This window comes from Homo sapiens, chromosome 4 (assembly GCF_000001405.40).
Source record: "Homo sapiens chromosome 4, GRCh38.p14 Primary Assembly".
Taxonomy (NCBI): domain Eukaryota; kingdom Metazoa; phylum Chordata; class Mammalia; order Primates; family Hominidae; genus Homo; species Homo sapiens.
In genome coordinates this window covers 104,494,896-104,517,516 of record NC_000004.12, presented here as the reverse complement: position 1 = coordinate 104,517,516, position 22,621 = coordinate 104,494,896, and the positions used below count along the sequence as shown (strand labels likewise).

Below are 22,621 nucleotides of genomic sequence, written 5' to 3'. Positions count from 1 at the left end.
GTGGTGCATGAAAATGCTGGAAAATTACATAGTCATTCAAAAGAAAGCCTTAGTTCTATGTCAATCGTCTGGGTCAGAGTCTGATTATAGTGAGAGAGAAAAGCAAGAAGCAGAGATGAATACGTAGTATGATCCCTTACACAGGTTAGATTTTCCAGGAAGCAGAATCTGAGATGAAGTTTAAGATATTTATCTGTAAGTGTCTTGCAATTAACATGTACAAACAGGGGAGAGAAAAAGCAAAATTGGGCAGAGGGTGAAATTGAGTTGTGAAGCAAGCCTGATGAGAATCTTGGCTGACCCAATGGGGAGGTCTAGAGCTAAAATTGCCATCAGAGTGTCCCTGTATCAGGTCCAAATGGCCAGTAAGTCATACTCTTAACTAGATTAGTCATTTGATGTGGGCTGCTCAGGAAATAGTGTGACCATGGGTGAGGCAGTTCTCTGAAGCTAGTAATCACTGAAGGAACTGAGGCATCTACTCATAGCACCCCCACCCCCAAGCTTTTAGTTCTTCATTGAGGAACAATCTGGGTGGTGCCTCTGTCCCTCACAATACCTAAAACAAAGTATGCCAGAACCCAAAAGGTATAAACATATTTGTAAATGATTACATATGCATGGAGAAAAGTAGAATATAATCTTGGTCATGGGGAAAGCAGTTGGGCTGGAGGTAGTATAAGTAACCAAACAAAACAAAAGGGAAAGATATTAATAACAAGAGTCCATAATATTTTATACAGGTAAACTTTAAAATACATCAATATAATACTTAGAAGTATTAAGGAATGGGCATCCAATAGTATTTAACTCTAAGTTGTGACTACCTTTCCATTATGTGTCTCTATGTTCTTTGAGTAAAAGTAAACATGTATTGTTTAGATAATTTGAAAAATTACAAAACTATTAATTTTTTTTTGAAGCAGAGCCTCACTCTGTCATTCAATCACTTGATCTCTGCTCAATGCAACCTCCACCTTCTGGGTTGAAGCTATTCTCCAGCCTCAGACTCACGAGTACCTGGGATTACAGGCGTCCGCCACCCGCTGAGCTAATTTTTCTATTTTCAGTAGAGATGGGGTTTCACCACGTTGCCCAGACTGGTCTCAAACTCCTGAGCTCAGGCAATCTACACCTCTTGGCCTCCCAAAGTGCTAGGATTACAGGCGTGAGCCACCACACCCAGCCAAAACTAAAAATTAATAGCAAATGACATGATCACTTGATTAAAACAAAGCCTTCAGTTTTCAAAGAGCAGATTTCCAAAGGTTTAAATCATGTAGGAAGATGCTCTAAAAGACAAATGGTTTTCGGAGGCATGAGTTGTGACACCAGTCATAATATCCAAAAGTTAATGTTAATAAATTAAGCTTTTTTATGAAATATACATTTAGTCAAATGTTTCTTGAGTGTGTTTAATGTGGTGGAATCTGTTGTAGGTGTTGGGTTACATCCAGATGGAAAGCAAACAAAAATTCTCACCCTCATGGATCTCACATTCTACAGGAAGGAAAGAGAAGATAAACAATAAGAACACTCATTATTTGGCTCTCTGTTTGTCTGTTATTGGTGTATAAGAATGCTTGTGATTTTTGCACATTGATTTTGTATCCTAAGACTTTGTTGAAGTTGCTTATCAGCTTAAGGAGATTTTGGGCTGCGACGATGGGGTTTTCTAGATATACAATCATGTCATCTGCAAACAGGGACAATTTGACTTCCTCCCATTCACAATTGCTTCAAAGAGAATAAAATACCTAGGAATCCAACTTACAATGGATGTGAAGGACCTCTTCAAGAAGAACTACAAACCACTGCTCAATGAAATAAAAGGGGACACAAACAAACGGAAGAACATTCCATGCTCATGGATAGGAATAATCAATATCATGAAAATGGCCATACTGCCAGAGGTAATTTATAGATTCAATGCCATCCCCATCAAGCTACCAATGACTTTCTTCACAGAATTGGAAAAAACTACTTTAAAGTTCATATGGAACCAAAAAAGAGCTCGCATTGCTGAGTCAATCCTAAGCCAAAAGAACAAAGCTGGAGGCATCACACTACCTGACTTCAAACTATACTACAAGACTACAGTAACCAAAACAGCATGGTACTGGTACCAAAACAGAGATATCGACCAATGGAACAGAACAGAGCCCTCAGAAATAATACCACACATCTACAACTATCTGATCTTTGACAAACCTGACAAAAACAAGAAATGGGGAAAGGATACCCTATTTAACAAATGGTGCTGGGAAAACTGGCTAGCCATATGTAGAAAGCTGAAACTGGATCCCTTCCTTACACCTTATACAAAAATTAATTCAAGATGGATTAAAGACTTAAATATGAGACCTAAAACCATAAAAACCCCAGAAGAAGACCTAGGCATTACCATTCAGGACATAGGCATGGGCAAGGACTTCATGTCTAAAACACCAAAAGCAATGGCAACAAAAGCCAAAATTGACAAATGGGATCTAATTAAACTAAAGAGCTTCTGCACAGCAAAGGGAACTACCATCAGAGTGAACAGGCAACCTACAGAATGGGAGAAAATTTTTGCAGTCTACTCATCTGATAAAGTGCTAATATCCAGAATCTACAAAGAACTCATACAAATTTACAAGAAAAAAACAAACAACCCCAGTAAAAAGTGGGTGAAGGATATGAACAGACACTTCTCAAAAGAAGACATTTATGCAGCCAACAGACACAGGAAAAAATGCTCACCATCACTGGCCATCAGAGAAATGCAAATCAAAACCACAATGAGATATCATCTCACACCAGTTAGAATAGCGACCATTAAAAAGTCAGGAAACAACAGGTGCTGGAGAGGATGTAGAAAAATAGGAACACTTTTACACTGTTGGTGGGACTGTAAACTAGTTCAGCCATTGTGGAAGTCAGTGTGGCGATTCCTCAGGGATCTAGAACTAGAAATACCATTTGACCCAGCCATCCCATTACTGGGTATATACCCAAAGGATTACAAAACATGCTGCTATAAAGACACATGCACACATATGTTTATTGCGGCACTATTCACAATAGCAAAGACTTGGAACCAAGCCAAATGTCCAACAATGATAGACTGGATTAAGAAAATGTGGCACATATACACCATGGAATACTATGCAGCCATAAAAAATGATGAGTTCATGTCCTTTGTAGAGACATGGATGAAGCTGGAAACCATCATTCTCAGCAAACTATCGCAAAGACAGAAAACCAAACACCGCATGTTCTCACTCATAGGTGGGAATTGAACAATGAGAACACTTGGACACAGGTAGGGAAACATCACACACTGCGGCCTGTTGTGGGGTGGGGGGAGGGGGGAGGGATAGCATTAGGAGATGTACCTAATGTAAATGACGAGTTAATGGGTGCAGCACACCAACATGGCACATGTATACATATGTAACAAACCTGCATTTTGTGCACATGTACCCTAGAACTTAAAGTATAATAAAAAAAATTAAAAAAATAAGAGCAATTAATGAGTTAAATACTACAGTAGGTTAAAAGTTGGTGAAGCCCAGTTCCTGAGAAAACAGGCTGTCAGACTCGGTGATTCGCATTCAGGAGTGTTTTGGAGGATGCTCTTGGGAAGAACAACTAAGAGAACAGAAGGAAATAGGTACAAGTAGCCCAAAATGATAGCTTAATGACTAAGTTTAATGACTAAGAGATGCTCCTTGTGCTGCCTGTTGCAAGTTTTCTCCCTCTGAGAATAGGAGAAGTAGACAGATAGAATCTGCATTTGGATACTTTCAGACTAATTCTTGATTCAGGACAGGAGAGTTAAGGTAGTGCTGTATGAAAACTGAAAAGTATACTGTTGTCCATTCAGAGTGAATACAGATGGTTTCTTGCCCTCCTGTCTGAAGAGGTGGAAGAGAATACCCTGGCTAGATCACTTATTACATACCATGGACTGGAAGCATTAACTGGTTCCAGCAGGAATAGCTTATCTAGCAAAGCAACTGCACCTGGGGTTTCCTTTTAATTGAGTTACAGTAAGCCGTAAACCCAGGATCCATCTGAGTTTTCTAGAGACCTGTTTGGAAAATTAAATGGAAATATAATGCAAGTCACTAATTTTGAATCTATTATGTCTTTAACAGTGGCAATAATTTGCTTACTCTCCCCTGGTTTCAATAGCAATTCATCCATGACCACTGTGAGGGGCAAGTTCCAGTGACTTTGACTTTTTGTCTTTCCCACCATGATAGCTCTTAGCCCGTGGCCAAAGAACACATGTGGGGTATTTTCAAAATCTAATTATGTCTATTTCAATTGTTCATTCAGAGACCAAGTGAGTCTGCAAACCCAGTGGTCCCAGTGAATCCACCGTGAGCCACACCTGGGGCTTGACTCCATTTAATAAGTACCATCCTCTCCCAAGCAGGAGAGTGTTGCTGCTTTCGGCCTCCCAGGTATCTATGTCAGCTTGGACCTTGTGTCTAGCAAGTCTTGAAGTATGTTTTTCTTTCTCTCTTACTTCACTGTACAATTACCCAAGTAAATGGCAAGGTCTGATTGGGAGGGACTGGGAGAATCATTACTGTGTACTTTCTGTGGTGTGGCAGGTTTCTTCCTTCTGAGGCAAAAGTCTAGCCTACAAGCAGCAATTTCGAGGTCTGCAAAACTGGCTCAGACTTGGAATCTGGAAAAGGGATTGAAACATTTTATTTGGATGACTTCCCTCAGCCTCCTCATCTTCCATCCTTTATTTTGGTTGTATACATTGTGCCTTTGTTGGCTGCACATATGTCTTACTGTACCTAGACATGCTGTATTCTGCTAACCACCTCTATAGCTCTCCACAGGTTCTCTCTCCTGGCTGCCACTCTGATGTTGCTGCTCATTATAATAATTGCCCCAACTGGTGTCTGACAGTTCAGCACTGCCACCTGGTCTCTATTAATTAGGGATCCTATGAGTCCCATTGCTATCAGTGAGCCCAGTTATTAACAGCATCTCTTACCCTCATCCCTGGCTGATAGAAGACAGCCACCACTGAGCTTCTCAGTAATGCCCATGCCCTTCTCACCAGCATATGCCTTTTTCCTTTGGTAAATGAAATTTCCTCTCATGGATCATAGTGGTCTGGTAGGTTTTCTGACCTAGTTAGTGTATCCACTCTAGCATGCCCACTTCTGTGAGCCCTTTGATCCCTCTACAACTGTAAGATAAAGTAGTTCTGGCACTTCAACCTCACAGAGTGTAGTCCATTACTTTCTCTAAGCTTCTAGGAGTCATCCTAGTACCTTGTTTGCTCCACATCCCAGAGACCTTGCATAGGTTTTAAATCGTGTAACCTGGAGAGTGTTCTCACATCAATAAACTCTCTTTTATCCAGCATCCTCAGAATCCAGTCCCATGTATACTCTCCTGGATGCTGCCACTATACACTGGCTAGTTTTTGCTTCAGGTTACAATCCCTTTGCTACTTCAGCATGTCCCCTGATGGGTTAGGTTGTGACTTAACCCAGTTATTGGTTTACTGTTTGGGGCATGGGGGATGGAGAGTGGTGGTATATCCTAAAGAGAGCACAACTGGTCTCGCAAGGAAGACATCTCAAGCAGAGGTAGGCCAGCCCATTAATTAGCAAAGAGGAGTGTATCACTGTGACAGTCTAAAAGAGTTCAAGAGAATCTGGAGATTCAAAGTTTGGAAGTGCTTCAATCCAGATATCCACATCCCAGTTTTCAAAGTTCTACTCTTTTCAAATCAGGGACCTAATCTTGGCATAGCAGATCCTGAAGTTGAGGATTCCACTTTTTAAAGAGTGTGCTGCTCTTTAATTAAATGTTGAATCTCTAGCTTTTGCTCTCCACTGGCCACAGCAGACTCTTTTTATATTAGTTGTTAATAACATTCACACTTTTCTTGCCATTCTCCATGTATCATTGCCCTGAAGAAATAGCCATCTAATTCCAAATTTCTTAAAATTACTATCATCCCTGAAAAATTCAAACTCCTGGGATAGCTTACCTGCCAGTGAATTCCCCTTAATGCCTATCTGTTCCCAGTTCCACATCACTGAAAATTTTAATAATTTCACTGCAACCAAATATCTGGACCTAACAATGTTCCATCTACCCCCATTGAAGGAGTTTTTCTTGACAGCTGGCCAAATAAAATCATGAACCTACAAACATCCCATTTTAGACTCTGCTTTCTAGGATTAGCTCTAGTATAAACGTCAAAGGTCAATCTTCATAGAACTCTGATAACAAAAAAGGTGTGTACACAAGGAATACTGGATAGAGATCTCAGAAACAATTGTGAGGTATGAGAGGAGAAGAACTGGTCAGAAGGAGAAGCTGAACAGTGATGCAGTTGCAACAGAAGATTCAGCTGATCCTACAGGAAGTTCTAGAGTTTGGCTGGCCCATTACAATTATTCCAACGTTAGGCATGGGGGACAGACCATCTAGCCTCTTGCAAAGGCTAATCATTGTATGCGGGCTGCCCTTTAGGAGGGACATAACCTTCAGTGAGGCTGCTCTCTTAGGGCAATTGTTGGAGGGGAACTCAGTTTAGCTTTATAAGTCACCACCAGCAATAGGGGAATGAGTGACTCTACGAGAGTAAAGGAAAAATCTAGGCAGTGCAGCACATTTTAACTGAAATGTCGATAAAATCTATAGGGAAAAATAATTATGTGCGGAGGATCACAATGCCTGAACTAGGGTGAGAAGAGGAGAAGTGGTGGGTTGGACTTTCAATAAAGAGTGGTAAAATGTAGGTCTCATTGAAAAAATAACATCTGAGAAAAGACTTGAAGTTAGCCATGTTGAAACCTGAAGGAAATATGCTCCTGGAAAAGGGAATAACCAATGTAAATCTCAAGAAAGGAACCTGTTAAGTGTGTTGGAAAATTTGAAGATGGAAAAACCCTAAAACCGCAAGTTGCAGAATTATGGTCACCATATAATAGTATTGCTACATATATGTAAAGAATATGTACAGAATTATGTACCCAACCAGATAGTGTGTGAGTATAAATAGGCTTTCAAATCTACCTGTAGCTTTTGTTTCACTTACTTTTGAAAATTCTGAAGAAATGGAAAAAAAATTGATGTTTTAAAATCTATGTAAAGATTATATGGTATTAATTATATTACTCCCTATTATTTTTAATATACATGTTATATTTCATAACAAAAAGGAGAAAAATCAATACGGGTGCTAGAAACAGACATGAACATTATACATTATTAGATGAGTGAAATAAGATATCCTGGCTGACCAAGAATTATTTATATGTAGACTGTGCTAAGCCTAGTGATAATTTGTGTAATTAAACTTCGTCTTTTTTGTCATCAATTTTGGCCCTACTCTACCCCGTTCTTCTGAGCTACCAGCCACATCCTGGCTTATATATATTTTCAAATACATTCTTTGTAAAATTTTCTTAAAAGATAATAACAGATTATTATGGAACATAATTCATTTTATATTTATAAAACTTCAAAATGTTAAAAAATATATGTTGTGAAAATTAAATAAGTTATATTTTAAATGCCCAAATTACCACCAAAGAAATTTAAGAATTTGAACCCAAAGCCTATAGCTAACATGAATAAAGGGAATTTTGATTCATCTCCTTGAAGTTCAGAACCAGAAAAGCACACCAAATGTCAACAGAGTTTAAAACACTAGAGAGTCTCAGCTACACTTGAGGGAGTTATTTAATCTTATTTTCCTTATCTGGAAAATGGGGGTTGTTAAGGTATGCATCAAGTAAGGCCATTGTGAACATGAAGAGATGGGTACAGATGAAATCTTTGCCCAAGAGCTCACTAAGCATTTGCTGTTACTGTTAGCAGCAGATTAACATATACTAATTCTATCATCTTCATGAAGTTTGACCACACTCACAATGCCTATCATCTACTCTGCATGAATCCAGGAACACATTTCTTAGCATTCTGCTCCTGAGCGGCTAAAAATCCACTGCAAAGGTGTACATTCATTTCTTTCAGATTGAACTATTAATATTGCTTTCAACCAGCTTACCCTTTCTCTTGCCTACTTAATTGAATTCAAGCCAACACATACTCAATGAGCATTTAATACATTACATATATTATATTAACTCCTAGACTTCCCTCCTTGCTTTCCAAAGCTAATGTTTCAGATATTTACCACTGATTTTATGCATTGAATCTGCCCTCACTTTTACCAGATACTCCTCACCTCTTGCTTCAATGAAACAATACAAGTAATCAGAATTGAAGTCTGTTTTTCATCCCTCCACCTCAGAATTTGCCTTTTTATTCCCTCATTTTCTCTCTGCTGCTTTAGATTCCCTTTTTGTTCCCTTTTTGGAGAGAGAGGAGAGAGAAAGATTTATTATGGGAAATTGTCTCTTGAGATTATGGAGGCTGAGAAGTCCCATGATCTGCCATCTGCAAGCTGGAGGCCAGGAAAGCTGATGGTATTGTTCCAGTCCAGGCCCCAAAGTCTGAGAACTAGGAAAGCCAATGATGTAAGTCCCAGTCCAAGTCCAGAAAACCAAGAACCAGGAGCACAGATGTCTGAGGGCAGGAGAAAGTGTATGTCCCAGGTCCCAGTTCAAGAAGAAAGAGACAGAATTCTCCCTTCTGCCGCTTTTTTGTTCAATTCAGCAGTGGATTGGATGATACCTTCTTGCACTGGTGAGAGCGATCTTTACTCAGCTTACTGATTCAAATGCGAATCTCTTCCAGAAACACTCTCAAAGACACACCCAGATATAATGTTTTACCAGCTATCTATTAGCTCAGTCATTCCGACACATAAAATTAACCATCACAGAGATAAAGAGTAATAAGAATGACCCCAAGATTTTTGATCTGAGCAACTAGAATGATGGAGTTGCCATTAACTGAGAGCACGTTTTAGGGTAGTTAAGGGAGAGAGGTGTTCAATTTTAGATAATTTAACTGGAATTTTAAAGTAATTAGATATAAAAGTATTGACTGGAGATTTACATTTTGGAGTGTCTAGGGCACAGATGAAATTTAAAGCCATGAGATTGGATGAGATCAGAAAGATAGTGAGTGTAAACAGATAAGAAAAGAAGTCTAAAGTCTAAACTCTGGGTCACTTCAGTGTTAGGAGGATAGCAAGGTAGGAGATAAATCAGGGGACTGGTTTTCTAAAAGCCCTGGAAAGAGAACATCAAATGTTGCTAATGGGTAAAATAAGAGGAAGACTGAAGTTCATCTTTGAATTTAACAAGGTACAGTCACTGGAAATCTTGAAAAGAGATGGACTAATGCCAATTCAACAGATAAGGGAAAAAGGCAAATTATGACATTGGTATATACCATTCTTTTAAGAAATTTAACTGTCTAAGGAGTGAATGGGGTGATTGATAGAGGGAAAAATGTGGTTTAAATGGTTTAAAAAACGTATTCTAATGGTAATACTACAGTTGAGAGGAATAGTTTGATGATGACAAAGAGGGGAGAATTGCTGGAGTGAGACTCTATGTGTGATCCAGTGAGAATGGGAGAGGGTGTCTTTAAATAGAAACATGCAGAATATATTCCAGTGGGAGGAAAGGAAGAATGTCTGTATACAGATACTAGAAGGTAAGTAGATATGATAGCAGGAGCTCATGGAAACTGCTATTCTAGTAGTTTCTATGAACACAGTGAAGTAGAAACTTGCATAAAGAACAGGGAGATGTGTTAGAGGTTTGAAAAAAGAAGATATAAAACAGAAAGAAAAAGGAAGAGTAAATGTAATATAATTGCTCTGCAACATTAAAGGCCCACTTGAGTAACTACCATGAAGCTAACATAAGACTTAGATTTGTAAATGTTTTTCCAGCCATATGTGGCTATTCAGGTAAGGTAATGGAGCAGGCATTCCTTTACTGTGTTTACTTTGGTTAAACACAGCTTACAAATCCCAAAGTAAGGGTTTAGCCAAGAGATAGCTAAATGAATTGAAGTATAGGAAAGGGAGTGTTCAAAATGATTGATCATGGGAAATTTAGAGTGTTTGAAAGGGAATGTTTATAATGATTGACCAAGCTGAGGAGTATGTAGGGAAACAGAGGCATGGGAAGATGAGGGTAACAGTAGCAGGATCAATGGATTGTAGGTTCAGTGGGAGGGACAATTGAAGGATATTTGAGAGCCAAGGATTTGAGGAAGTGATCTAGAAATATAGGAAGTGATGAGTAGACAGTGGGTCTAGAGTGTGACCACAGAGTTTAATGACAGAAGGGAGGCGGGAGAAAAAAAGAATCAAAGGGAGGTGATCAAGGAGGCAAGAGGACTTGAAGAATTATATGGCTAAATACTGAAAACACTCAGAATCAAGGAAAGAGTTGTGGTGGTGTGAGCCAAGAGTTACAGCTAAAGTTTTCATAGACTGAGGAGAGCCCTTCAATCCTTTAGATGATTTAAACAAGGAACAGAAGTAGGGAGCATAGTCTTATGGCATTACTGTTACAGCAGTGGAGAATGGGGCTTGAATAGCATGGAACAGTCTGGAAATGACAATGAAGAGCAAGAAGGAACCTTCCCCATGATCACCATTTGAGAGCACTACAGAGCATGCAAGTGCTTCCCAAAGAACCACATTTCAACAAGAGCAAGATGAAGGGAATTTTCAGAGAAGTTATTGAGAACACGGGGGCTTTGCTGATGGCAGACACTCATTCTCAAGAATCAACGGTGTCAGGAGATGGCTACTAAAAGGTGGATATACGGAGCTATATATAGAAACTGGAATGTGAAAATCAACAATGCTCTAGGAAGCCAGGGTTTATGGCTGTGACTGACACAATAGTGAAAAAGTATATAAAGAGATGAGTCCTAATGGTCTTTGGCCAGTATTGGAGGAGGTAAGTGTTGGGGAGTATGCAAAGGTTAGAATTTATGGGATTCTCTTCTCCCATAAATCATCCTGATGACAGTGTGAAGATCAGAAAAGGGATGATCTTGACTGCACAGTTATCCATGTAACCATTAGGTCTTTGAAACTGTTTACTGACAAGTTTTTCTTATTGCCACATTTATTGGTTTCAATCTGGGGCAAGCTCAAATATGTAGCAAAAGCCTCTAGTTTTTCTGTTTTTTGACATAAAATAAATAATAATTTCCCATAAAATAAATCATGAAATAACCATAGTTTTGGCACACAAATGAGCAGAAGCCAATCCCCTTGACGTTGTACTCCAAGCAACAGTAGAAATAGGAGTTTCCCATCTCTTCCCAAACCAACTAGTGGTTAAAAACTGCTCTTAGCACAACTCTAGAATTGCCCCTAGAAGCTTCTTTCAAGCCTTTGTAGATCCTTCAGCATCAATGGTTCACTCAATTTAGGAATATCCTTGCTTTTGGGATTTTTTTTTTTTTTTTTTTTGGTTAACATCTCCCTTCCAGATGACTTTTTGTGAATCACCCTTCTTGTCCTCTGAAGTTCATCTTTCCTTCAAATAAACTCTAGGTTTTCCTCAAATTGTCTATATTGTCTCCCTCCTATTCCATCCTGTTGCTGGGATCTTTATCTAAAACGCTGCTAAAGGACAAAATGTTTCACCTCCTCTAAACCATCTTCCCCAGTGTAAGTCAGAAGGATACTTGAAAACAAAAATAAACAAAAAAACACAAGTGAGCATAGACCTCCTGACATAAACAACATTTATTGGCCTCTTTTTACCCCTAAGCAAGTCTTTTTCCTCAGCATAACCTTAAAGGCTATATGCAATTTAACAGTATTCTTTCTGGGTCTCATTTCCCATCACTTGTCTCTTTTTGATGTATCATTACTGCAGCCACAATCAACAATGTACCACTTCTGGGCTCTGCTATGCACTTGTGTTCCCCCAGCTTTTGCTTACACCCTGTCCTTTATGCCAAATATTCTTTCTCCCCTTCTCCGTTAGTCATTCCACTTCAAATACTTCTTTTGTGAGGTTTTCCTCAGGAGCATCCCAGACCTCCAAATTATCCAGTCCTTCCTCGTTGCTTTTAATGCACTACATTGATACTTACAATATAGAAATTTTCAGGATCTGGTTTTTATTACACTCTACTTACTTAAATTCTTCTTTTTATAGAAGAGGTGAGATAAATGTAATATTAGAACTGTGTGTGTTTCCTGTCTGAGTACCCTCTATTAAATTATTAGTTTTTCAAGGAAATTTCTCATTCCTTCAGTACTTGACATTATGTCATGCATATAACGTGTTCAAAAAATACTTATTCAATTAAAATATGATAAAGAATAATCCAGGCTGGAAAGAAAGAGTAAATGGCTATTAGTTGAATTAAGATGACAGTAGAATATAAGTTCTATAAGGATAGGGATTTTAACATGTTTTGTCTTTTAAGAATGCTATAAAAATATATTGAATAAAAAAGATTAATTTAGGAGATTTCATACTTAATATTTAACACTTAATCTGGAGCAACATACAGGTATTACATGAATATTGGGGTTTGCTACATCCCAATTAAAATGCACTTTTGAATAAAATGCTGGCTATTTTTCTCACAGTCAATGTTTAAAAAAATCTGAACAGACATAAAGGAGAAAAATGTTTTCCCAAGTATAATACTAGAAAAAATAGCCATTCTTTCTTTTACAGAACTTTAAATTTTAAAGAATGCCTATGTTTCTTAATTCTATTCAATTTTTAAAATCAATCACTCTCGTGCTGAATATTTTTAAATGAATATGACACTTTGCATAGATCCCATAAATAAACAAAACGTGCACAGCTTTGTTTATGTTAGGAACCTTCTGCTAAGTGTTGCTTCTATTTATTTACTTTTAAATTATGCCAGATTTTTGCAAATTTGAGTCAGTTTGGGGATCAACTTGAAATTTTAAGGACTGGCTATTTACTTTGCTTCTGATTACTTGCAAATATGTTAAGGTAATAGTTTTAATGGCCAGTAGAAGGTATAAGATGAAAATATACCAGATGTACTTAATTATGGAAATAGATGTACCTTGCCATTTTTTAAATTGTTTCTCTTAATTTCTTTTAACTTCCTCATTCTCTTTGCTTTCTCCTCACATCCTATAGCCCTATACCTTATAGATCAAGCTCAGATACTCCCTGATTTATGTAACATAGTATAAAAGGTCTGTAATGATGAACATGAGATAAGTTTCAATAAAGATAGGTCAGTAAATCAAAACTTTGCCAGGAAAGCCATGTTGCTAAAAATAAATCCTGCTTATAGGCATTCATGGCTGTAATTATAATTCATTAATTAACTCATAATAAAGAGCTGGCATCCATAAACTGACTTTCTCTTATTATATGTAATCTGGCATGCTTCATGAGATTTAGGGCTGGTTAGTTTTTCTAAGACAATAAAAATCAAGTGATAATAGACTTATATAAGACAACGGATACTGATACTGGTCTCACCAACAACCATCCAATCCCCTATCTTCTTCTTCCTTCTTAAACAAATCATGGCTATGTTCAGGTATTTCCTATCCTTCACACCGTCATGTGTTTCAGAATGATTACACCTCTAGTTCCAGGGCTGGTAGATACTTATTAAGAATAAGACAATTTCATTCTCTTTGAAAATGGTTGGTTTATGTGTCATCAGGTAACTCAATTTTGGGTAATTGGATCTTAGCGGAAGTCAGTGATGGTGCTTCTAGGAAAGTTCCTCACTCTAAAGACAAAAACGCATAAAAAAAAGAAAGTCCTTTTCTTTTCCCTAACGCTTTTTTATGCATAGATTATGATGTTGGAGCAGTAACTGTGAGGGAACTGCTTGAAGGAAAAAATAAGATAATAGGAATGATGAGCAAAGAGATGGAAGAAGCCTATATTATGTGTGATATCTATAAGCCACACAGGTTGTTCCTTGCCTGGAGTCTGCCCTACAAGAGACCTCATCATTTAAGCCAGTTTGAGTAATTTTCTCTTACATGTACTCAGAATTCTCAAAACCTTCTTTCTATCTATTCTTTATTAAAGAATAAAGTTATTTTGTTTTCTATAACAAATGAATATACCTGTCTGGATTTCCTCTGCAAGGAGATTAGCATGCAGTAAAATATCTAGAGGCTAGCTTTTGTTGGACATTCTTCAAATTTTGGACTCTTGATACTTGCTAAAGAAAGGTATGTAAATCAATCAGTGTTCCCATTAGGTAACAGAGTTGTTTCTTTTTCACTAATACAAAGTAGCCAAGAATTACAGGAATAGGATATGTTTTAAAATAGAAACATTTTAAAGGAAATGCCATCGTATCATCATGCATTTTAAAAGAGCCAAGTTACAAATTGGTAAAAACAACTGCTCTTTCAAGCAGTGCTACCATTATAAAATGTTAGCAGATAACAGAAAGAACTGGGGTCTGAACAGTGTCTCCCTCTTTTTAAAGAGTAGTTGTTCCCAAAGAAAGAAATACAATGTTATTACGACGATCCAACTCACATTACTAGTCATTTTGTTGATATTCAATGAAACATAACTCCTGATTCAGTGGTAATGAGTTCATACAATTGAAAATTTCATATTATTTACATCCTATTTGAAAATTAGTTCATATTGGAATATGTTTTAGGTGAAATTGGTTCACAAAAAAGGGATAAAGATAAAATTGAATATGATTTTAATATTAATCTAAATATAATCTTGTGGGATATAATTTCAAAGATGAGATGCTAACTTTTTAATATGAATAAAGGTGGCTGCAATGTTCATTGCTTTACTTAATTGGCCTATAATGGGGATACTGATAAGGCCATTTCTAGCCCCTAGAATGCCTTTTTGCTAATTAGACCCACCAGAACATGGCTTGGCAAGCAAAGCAATGGGCTGGATTCCAGCTCCTACTTGCCCATTTGGCCAGGCATTGTTGTGCAGTGAACAGCTAGCACAAGCGTACTTAGATGCCTTGAGTTACAAATTCCAATGCTTAGGTGGGCAAGTGTCAGACAGCAGGGAATGCTAAAAGTGCCGGCAAACTGGAGACTCCATCACTAATAATAGCTACAGCTACTATTTCCAGGATGGAATGTAGACACAATACTTTCAGAACTTCCAACTTATGAAAAAAACTGGAAGTCTAATTGAGTTTGTTTAACACCATGGTTCCAAACAAAAGGTATTTGAGAACCAAACTCATATTGTTAACTGGCAGTTTATAACTGGACTTAAAGGAAGTGTGTAGCCACAGCTACTTGCTCAGATACTACTGTTAATCCCAATCCAGTTAGATTCAGAAATGTTGAGCTCCTGGAGGTGATCGTGCAATCTAACAAAAGTGGGACAGAGGCTATGTTTTACATCCAAAGTAAGTCTCAAGTAGCAAAGACCATAGATGTAGATATGGAGTGAACAGAAAAAAAAAAGCAATAAATGTTAAATTAACTCTGAAGGAAAAAGAAAAGGATTGTGTAAAATTAAGTACTATGTGGGGAGAACATAGTTGTGATTTTCAGGTAGTTTGCTTTTTATAGTACTGCTCTACTAAATAGCTACAACACTTTGCTAACATTAATTAAACCTCACAAACCCTGTGAGATAGGTAATTACTGTAATTAAAGTGATATTCCAGATCGGTAAAATGAGAGGTAGAATGCCCAAGGTCATAATGATTGTATGACCCAGGTTGGCAGAAAAACTAAGTGTTCTTACATCATGTTACTCCCCTAGAAGGGGCTCTCTCTCTCTTTTTGCTTTCTTTCTGTTTCGACTAAGAAGATATAATGATAGGATAAATAAACTTCATCACTGAGAAGTTAAACTGCAAGTTGGTCAGGGAAGCTCAAAGACAATCTAGAAAAATGCCTAAATGAATGATCTGTATTCCATAAATAACATATATAATGTGCAAATTCCATTTCAATTAATTGCATTTATTTAAAAAATTTCCATTCAAATTGCTGGTTTAGCTAAATGCATCAGTAAATCAAGAAATCAATGCACGTAAAGCATTCCCCATACTGCACAACAGCATATAAAAGACTGTCATTAGTTTGGAAAGAGAACACAACAGACAGACAGAAGGAACTCTTCTTGTTGCTATAACTACGGCATAACAAAGGTCAGCACTGGGAAGGAAAAAAACCTTTCTGGACTGAACGTTAACAACTCAGGGATATTATCTTGAATTCTTCCTCTCAACAAAGAAAAATAGAATTCCTTTTTTAAAAAGGGAGTTAATTGAAGATAAACTAAATGGAAACACACTTAAAAAAAAACAAGCATGAAGAGTGGCTTTGATTTCAAATAAAATATTGAGACTAATATTAAGAAACCTGAACTTTTGCAAATGGAGATATCTAGGTTACACTGGAAGTCTAAAATCTCCAGGGAAAAAAATATAATTTTTGTGTTCACAACCATTTTGTAAAAATTTCTTTATTCTACTTAAAAATGGCAAATTCAAAAATGGTGATATTATATAATAGGAAATGGTTTAAGACAGATTTAATTTTGGAGTTTCACAGAGCTTAACAATATGACTTTTATAAACCTAATTTTATGTCTTTACAAGGTACATTCTTGAAGTAACTCTATTATTAAAAATTGAAGATTTTTTTTTCTAACTGGGTAAGTCCTGTCTAGCAATTTGAAGATTCAGAGGCCTCTTAATAAAATGTCCAGTGTCTGCATGTAAGCTTGTTTTAAATAAAAGGTCCACTTCTTCCTGTTGAGCGAAGTATTAATAGAACATTGGTTTCCTAAGTTACTGAGTTTGGAGTTTTGATAGAGAATTCGAAGAATTGAGATAGGGGACTATGTTACTTGATTTCCAGTGTCCTATAAATTCTGTCTAAGAAGACTTGTGTGCAGAAGAGAATGGCCGACAGCAGAAGGAAGTGACACCGCCACATTCTGGACTGCTGTCAGGGGAACACGGACTACTGGCACACTGAGCACTGTGGACAAAGTGTTTCCTGGTTAGCTCTTAACTACAAATTTCACCACAGGATTTCCTCACTTTATATTACTTTACCATTACTTATCTATCTGAAGAGATTTATCTTTCCAGAAGGCACACAGGTAGTTGCATGATTAAGGAGAATTTTCCTGGGACAAAGGCCAGCATGGAATGCTTTGATTCTGCCAGGCAAAGGAAAAGGGAGACCCCAAAGAACAGCTTGGGGCCCATGTTACAAATCTGAGTTTAGATTTGTTAGTGCCTGGAAGCTATTTACCATCACTTGGTGTTTTGTAGCAAAAGTGACCCATTGTTTCCTTCATGAGTAAATACTTTGACAAAATCTGGAATGTTATTGTTTGTATTTTCTAATAATCCAATGAACAAAGGATACCAAATATTTTTGGGAAAGTACAAGGAAAACAATAGCTAATAAAAATCAAGCTATGTCAGTGAGCCTATAGAAGAAAAAACATTCTTCTGGAGTTTTCCCTTTCTAGCCTACCAGAGAAAGTTTGGATTTCTGTGTTTGGGAATAGCACTTTCCATGGAGTGTTAGAGCTGTAGTTTTATAGAAATGAGAATTTATATGATGAGAAAAAATATCATGAGTAAATTAAAATGGGGCTAGACCAAATTTGGTCTTGCAAAGAACAATTCTAAAAATTAATGCCCAAAATAATACTTGGTACATATTTGTCTAGTGTCCAAACTGTATATGAAAATATGTGAATGTGATAAGCTTGATTAGCTTAGTTGATTTGAATATGGTGTTAATGAGGCCAACGTAATGGGTTTAACCCTGTGAACCCATTATTTTCATTATCCTCAATTGTCACAGTTTTTGTCCTTAACAGTGGCCAGCCATTCCATAAGTGCCTCCTGTTAGTCATTAGAAAGACAAGGTAAGAGAGTAAAGATAGCTGGAAAAACAGCTCAAAGCATGTGACCTACTGTGTTGGTAGGTTAAAAGTACCAGCTTTGAATATGAAGGTCAGCATTGTGATAACAACGTATCAATATTTAATTAGAAGTGAAAGAAAACAACAGGTGTGCAGAATATTGATTTTAAGAAGTAGCTTCATCAAATCCCAATTGTTAAGTCACCAAGACAACTTCTGAAAACGTTAAATTAAGGGATTTAAAAATATTATTTCATTATGCTATAATAATTTTTTATATGCAAAGATTTCTTTTATGGAAATAATAGTACTTCATTTTGGCTCACAGTTCATTATTAAAGATTTTCTCCCTCTCTGGTCATAAGGCAAATGAAGTTTTCTGAGCTAAGTGGATCTGCTAGAATAGTGGGTTCTTGGAAGGAATACTAGTAGAGTAGATTCAAAAGATGGAACCAGTTGGAGAAGGGCTTCATAAAATTAATTTTATAAATTTTGCACTTTTATCCTATAGGCAATGGGGAATTTACTTCCATACATTTTGTGTATACTACATTATTTCAATATGCATGACTCAGAATGTTTGGAACCTGCCATGTAGTAGGCATAGTAGGTATGAGGTGGGACACAAAGCTGTATAAGACACAATTCCCAATGTCAACCAACTCAAATTCTGGGAAAGGAGCCAGGTAAATAAAAATCCTAGGTAGATTTTTGGCCAGTCAAAAGAGTTAAAGAAATTATTCCCTATTTGTTTTAAGGGAATATTCCTTCTATAAAGGATGTGGTTATTTACTATATCCACAGTGAATTACTATGGCAAAAGAGGTGGTCCTCAGAGCCCATGAATGTAAGTTGAGATGTGAGTCCTTGGATATTAGGTAAGAAAGCTCCACACACCTTTTCTGACCTCCATGTTGTATATTTTCTTATGACTAATAGGAAACATCTCATTTGTGCGAGGTTAAAAATTACCTCTTGGTTTGAAAACACCAGCAGACAAGCTGCAGGTCCCCAAGATTTATCTCGGTTAGTTTATTTTTTATTTATGCTATTTTCTCTGATTGTATTACTTCTGCTTTCTTTATTCTTCAGTAAATTCTTGTTCAAATCTTCTAACCTTGTCTTGGCTATCCTACAAGTATTTAAGAAAGCTTAGTTCTTTCACAGTTGCCAAACTTTCCCTAAAGTCATTAAGACTGTTTTCAGTGGTAATCAGCAAAATAACTTCCAGGGAGCAGAGGAATTTCAAGGTTAGATTCAGGGCTGTGTGGTCTACTTAATCACTTCATCAGATTATTCTCCTTCTGTGTTACTCTGCGTGGAAGATAGCTAGCTGTCCCTCAGAATTGTTTCTCTACCCCATAGTAATAAAGCTGCATCTTGGAGTTGGCTTCCCAGTAATCTTTGCAGCTAGGTGTGGCATGTAACAAGTTTTTGACAATTGCATGTGAGCTACAGTGCTATGTTCCACTTTAAGACCAAGACTTTTAACAAGCCATCATAGCTCCTTCATGCCCTTCTGCCAGCTTGATGTAGTTGAGCAGTCCTTTGGAGATAAAATGTCCCAAGATAAAAGGAATCTTAATCTATGGATCACTCATAGAGAAGAATGGTCTCTGATCTGAAATTCCCACCCTGGACTGTTACATGAGAAAACACATACTTCTGTGGATTTTGCATTGGTAAATTTTGAGGTCTATTTATTTCAACAGAATATGCTACCTTTTTGGAGATTCTGGATAACAATGATGATCATGATTATGTTGGAAAGTAGCAGTACTTTAAAGATATTTGAGAGCAGTACATAAAATTTATGCTGAGTGGGGATACTTTTTTTGGGTGATGCTCAAGTTGGGATTAAAAAAAAAGTCCCATCAGGATAGCTATGAAACCTTTGAACTCTCTCCTAGCTAAGATTTTAAAAAATCATAAAGCAGGGTAAAGGCACAAACCACTTCCAGGTAATTGGAAGCTGTAATGGGCATTTTGCAGAGAAAACAATCTCACTTTTTCGTATATCATATAAAACTGTGGACTTAAAGAGAGTTAACAGAGAACTGAGTGTTCTCAGGTATTATTATCAAAACCCTGATATATCATTTTAAAGAAGACAAACATAGACTAATGTGAGACATGGTGCATATATGTATCTACACTAGTATAAAAAATTAATGGATATGAGATAGATGAGAAAAAAGATTTCCCTTGATCATATTTGGCTAAGTATGCAATCAATTCCCTAGTGGAAAGGAAACAGAATGCTATATCAGAGCCATGAGGTATATTGTTTATAATTTCTTTTATAAATTTAATTGATCCCATATCAACTAGGGGCCTACAATCATAATTAAATCTGAGGTTCCAGTATCCAGAGAAGGTTTATTGATTGATTAATTATTGACAGTGAGACTAGGGTAGAGGTTATAAACATAAGGCTTTGGAATAGACCAGATTGGGTACAAATTTCAAACTTTTTACATACTAACTTTGTGACCTAATCTAGGTTACCTCATTTCTCTGGGCCTCAATTTCCTTGTTTGTAAAATGGAAATAATAGCCACTTCACAGGATTATTGCAAGGACAAAATAGAATATCTGCAAATTACTTAGTGCAGGATCTGACACTAATGGGTCATTAATAGGGGCTATTATTATTAATTATTAAGACCAAGAATTCTGTAGTTTTCCTTCATTAGCTGGAAAGTAAAATTCATTGGAATTTAGAACATATTTTCTCTCACGTGTTTAAGATTTCATTTTGAAAGTAAGCTTGAAGAGTCCCAAAAAGGAAAGCATGAGAAAAGGAATTTCCAAAAAGGAAAATTTCCAGAAAAGAAAATTTGGCAAAAGAAAGCATGATGTCTTTATTTGATTAAAAACATTGCTTATTTATAAACTTCAAAATTTCTAACATTGGACTGATATTTTAAATATTGTGAAAAGATGTTTAAGAATCTATCATTTTTCTAGCATGTTTTCACTCATTAAAAAGTGACCACATTTTCCTGATAAATTTCCTATGAAGCTGAGCTAAAACAAAATAATCAAATGGAAAATTTCCTTTTTTGCTTTTATAATGCATTAGCACAAGAATAAAAATATCTTATTAACTTGAATAATTATTAACCCTCCAGTTATTTTGTCTATAGATGTCAAATAACCGGTAATAATCAAACAGCTTATGCTTTAAAAAAATTACAAAACATGTATATTAATCAATGAGTCACAAAATACACCTGTTTCCTATTGCAATAGTAGCCCACTCTTGAAATAACACCTTCATTTAGGCATACACACACCACAGTTTCAAACTTGTTATCAACAATTTATCCTCCATAGTTGGTAATGTCTTGATATGGTCAAAGTCTATCTTTTGAAAATTCAAATACAAAATGGTTTAAAATGTCTTTTCAGCTTTTTTTTCTTATTAAAGAAACAAAACATTATATTTTCCTCACTTATCTGAACAATTAATATTGCATTACTCTAGAATAAACACTTAATTTTAATACAAAACTTGTACTCTGCTTGATAACACCAATTTAAATAATCTTAAGTTTTTTCTTTCCTACTCTATAACTTACCTTAGCCACTGTTTTGCTCTTAGAAAAAAAATTATTCAAAAGTATTCATAATTCTGTATCTTATAACTATTTCCACTAGAGTATACTTTAATAGTAGGATAGCATGTGTCCACAAATATTTTATTTGAGGCAGCAGTGAAGAGGTTAATTTACAGCTGCATTTATGAACGAGTTTTATTTATATTTGACGTGCCGTACAATATTTATGTTTCAATTCATAAACTATGTTTTCCCAAGTGGCAAGAAGTGAAATGTTAATTACATACTATTCTAAAATAGACTGAAAGACAAAAGTTTTTGTTTAAGTAAAGTTTGAAATTAAAAAATAGGGCAGTGAGTTAAAAATCTGATTTATTCTTTGGAACTACCAGATGGAATAGTAAAAGAGGATTTTGGGAGGAGAGAGAGAAGAGTAGAGAAGAGAGACAGAGATTGAGATGGATTTTGAAATTGGCCAAGCATCATATCACCGATTTTTTACATTCTGGCATAATAGTACTTCGAGGGTCTGAAGAACCACACCGGTCCGTTTTCCCTTACTTTAAAGATCTAAATGGTATTTTTTTTTAAAGTCTTCCTGGGTACACCAGGAAATTTATTTAAAACCATGCCATTGGGTACGAACTAAGAGCATTCTTCAAACAAACATGACCTTTTCTCTGTTTCTTGTATTGCTCTTCTCAACCCAGCCAGAAATCCCAGACAAGTTTATTTACACACACACCCGCACACGCACGCACACACACACCCCACACGCAGAGTGGCGGAAACGCCCTCTTTCCAACCCTTCCAAACAATTATCTCCGAGAGCAAAAGAAAATAATCAACAGCCCTGTGTGCTGGGCTGAGCCGGAGAGCCGGGCGCGAGGAGGGAGGGCGATCCGCAGGCGAGCAGGGAAAACGTGGCTCCTCTGCCGAGGAGAGGATTTGTGAAAAGGAGCGCTGGCCCGCGTGCGCCTCTTGTTCCCCGTGTAATTTGCAGCCAATCATCAGTAGGTGTCCACGTCCCTGCGTCCTCCTCACCTCGGCGCCAATCACCCCCACCCCCGCGCCCCCGCCCCCAGCCTCCACACCTCCTCCCTCGCCTTTCTCTGTGGCTCCCCTCCCCCAGCAACCGCACACTCGCACACACACAAACAGAGAGAGAAGGGGGGAGGGTGAGAGAGAGGGGAAGAGAGAGAGAGAGAGAGAGGGGAGAGAGAGAGGAGAGACTCCCCGGCTCCCTCCCTCCCT

General features: G+C 37.0%; 2 long non-coding RNA genes across 3 annotated transcripts in view; one reads left to right on the top strand and one right to left on the bottom strand.

The window, feature by feature from the left end:
- LOC124900745 (uncharacterized) overlaps nucleotides 1–3,502 on the top strand; it is a 141,925-nt gene extending 138,423 nt beyond the window's left edge. Inside the window, exon 5 of one of the 2 annotated variants that reach the window (XR_007058211.1) lies at nucleotides 1,440–3,502. This is a non-coding gene — a long non-coding RNA (uncharacterized LOC124900745). The remainder of the gene's footprint in view (nucleotides 1–1,439) is intronic. The other variant, XR_007058210.1, reaches the window with a different exon arrangement.
- Nucleotides 1–22,621, bottom strand: part of CXXC4-AS1 (CXXC4 antisense RNA 1) — a 206,628-nt gene that overhangs the window by 180,076 nt on the left and 3,931 nt on the right. The window lies entirely within an intron of this gene.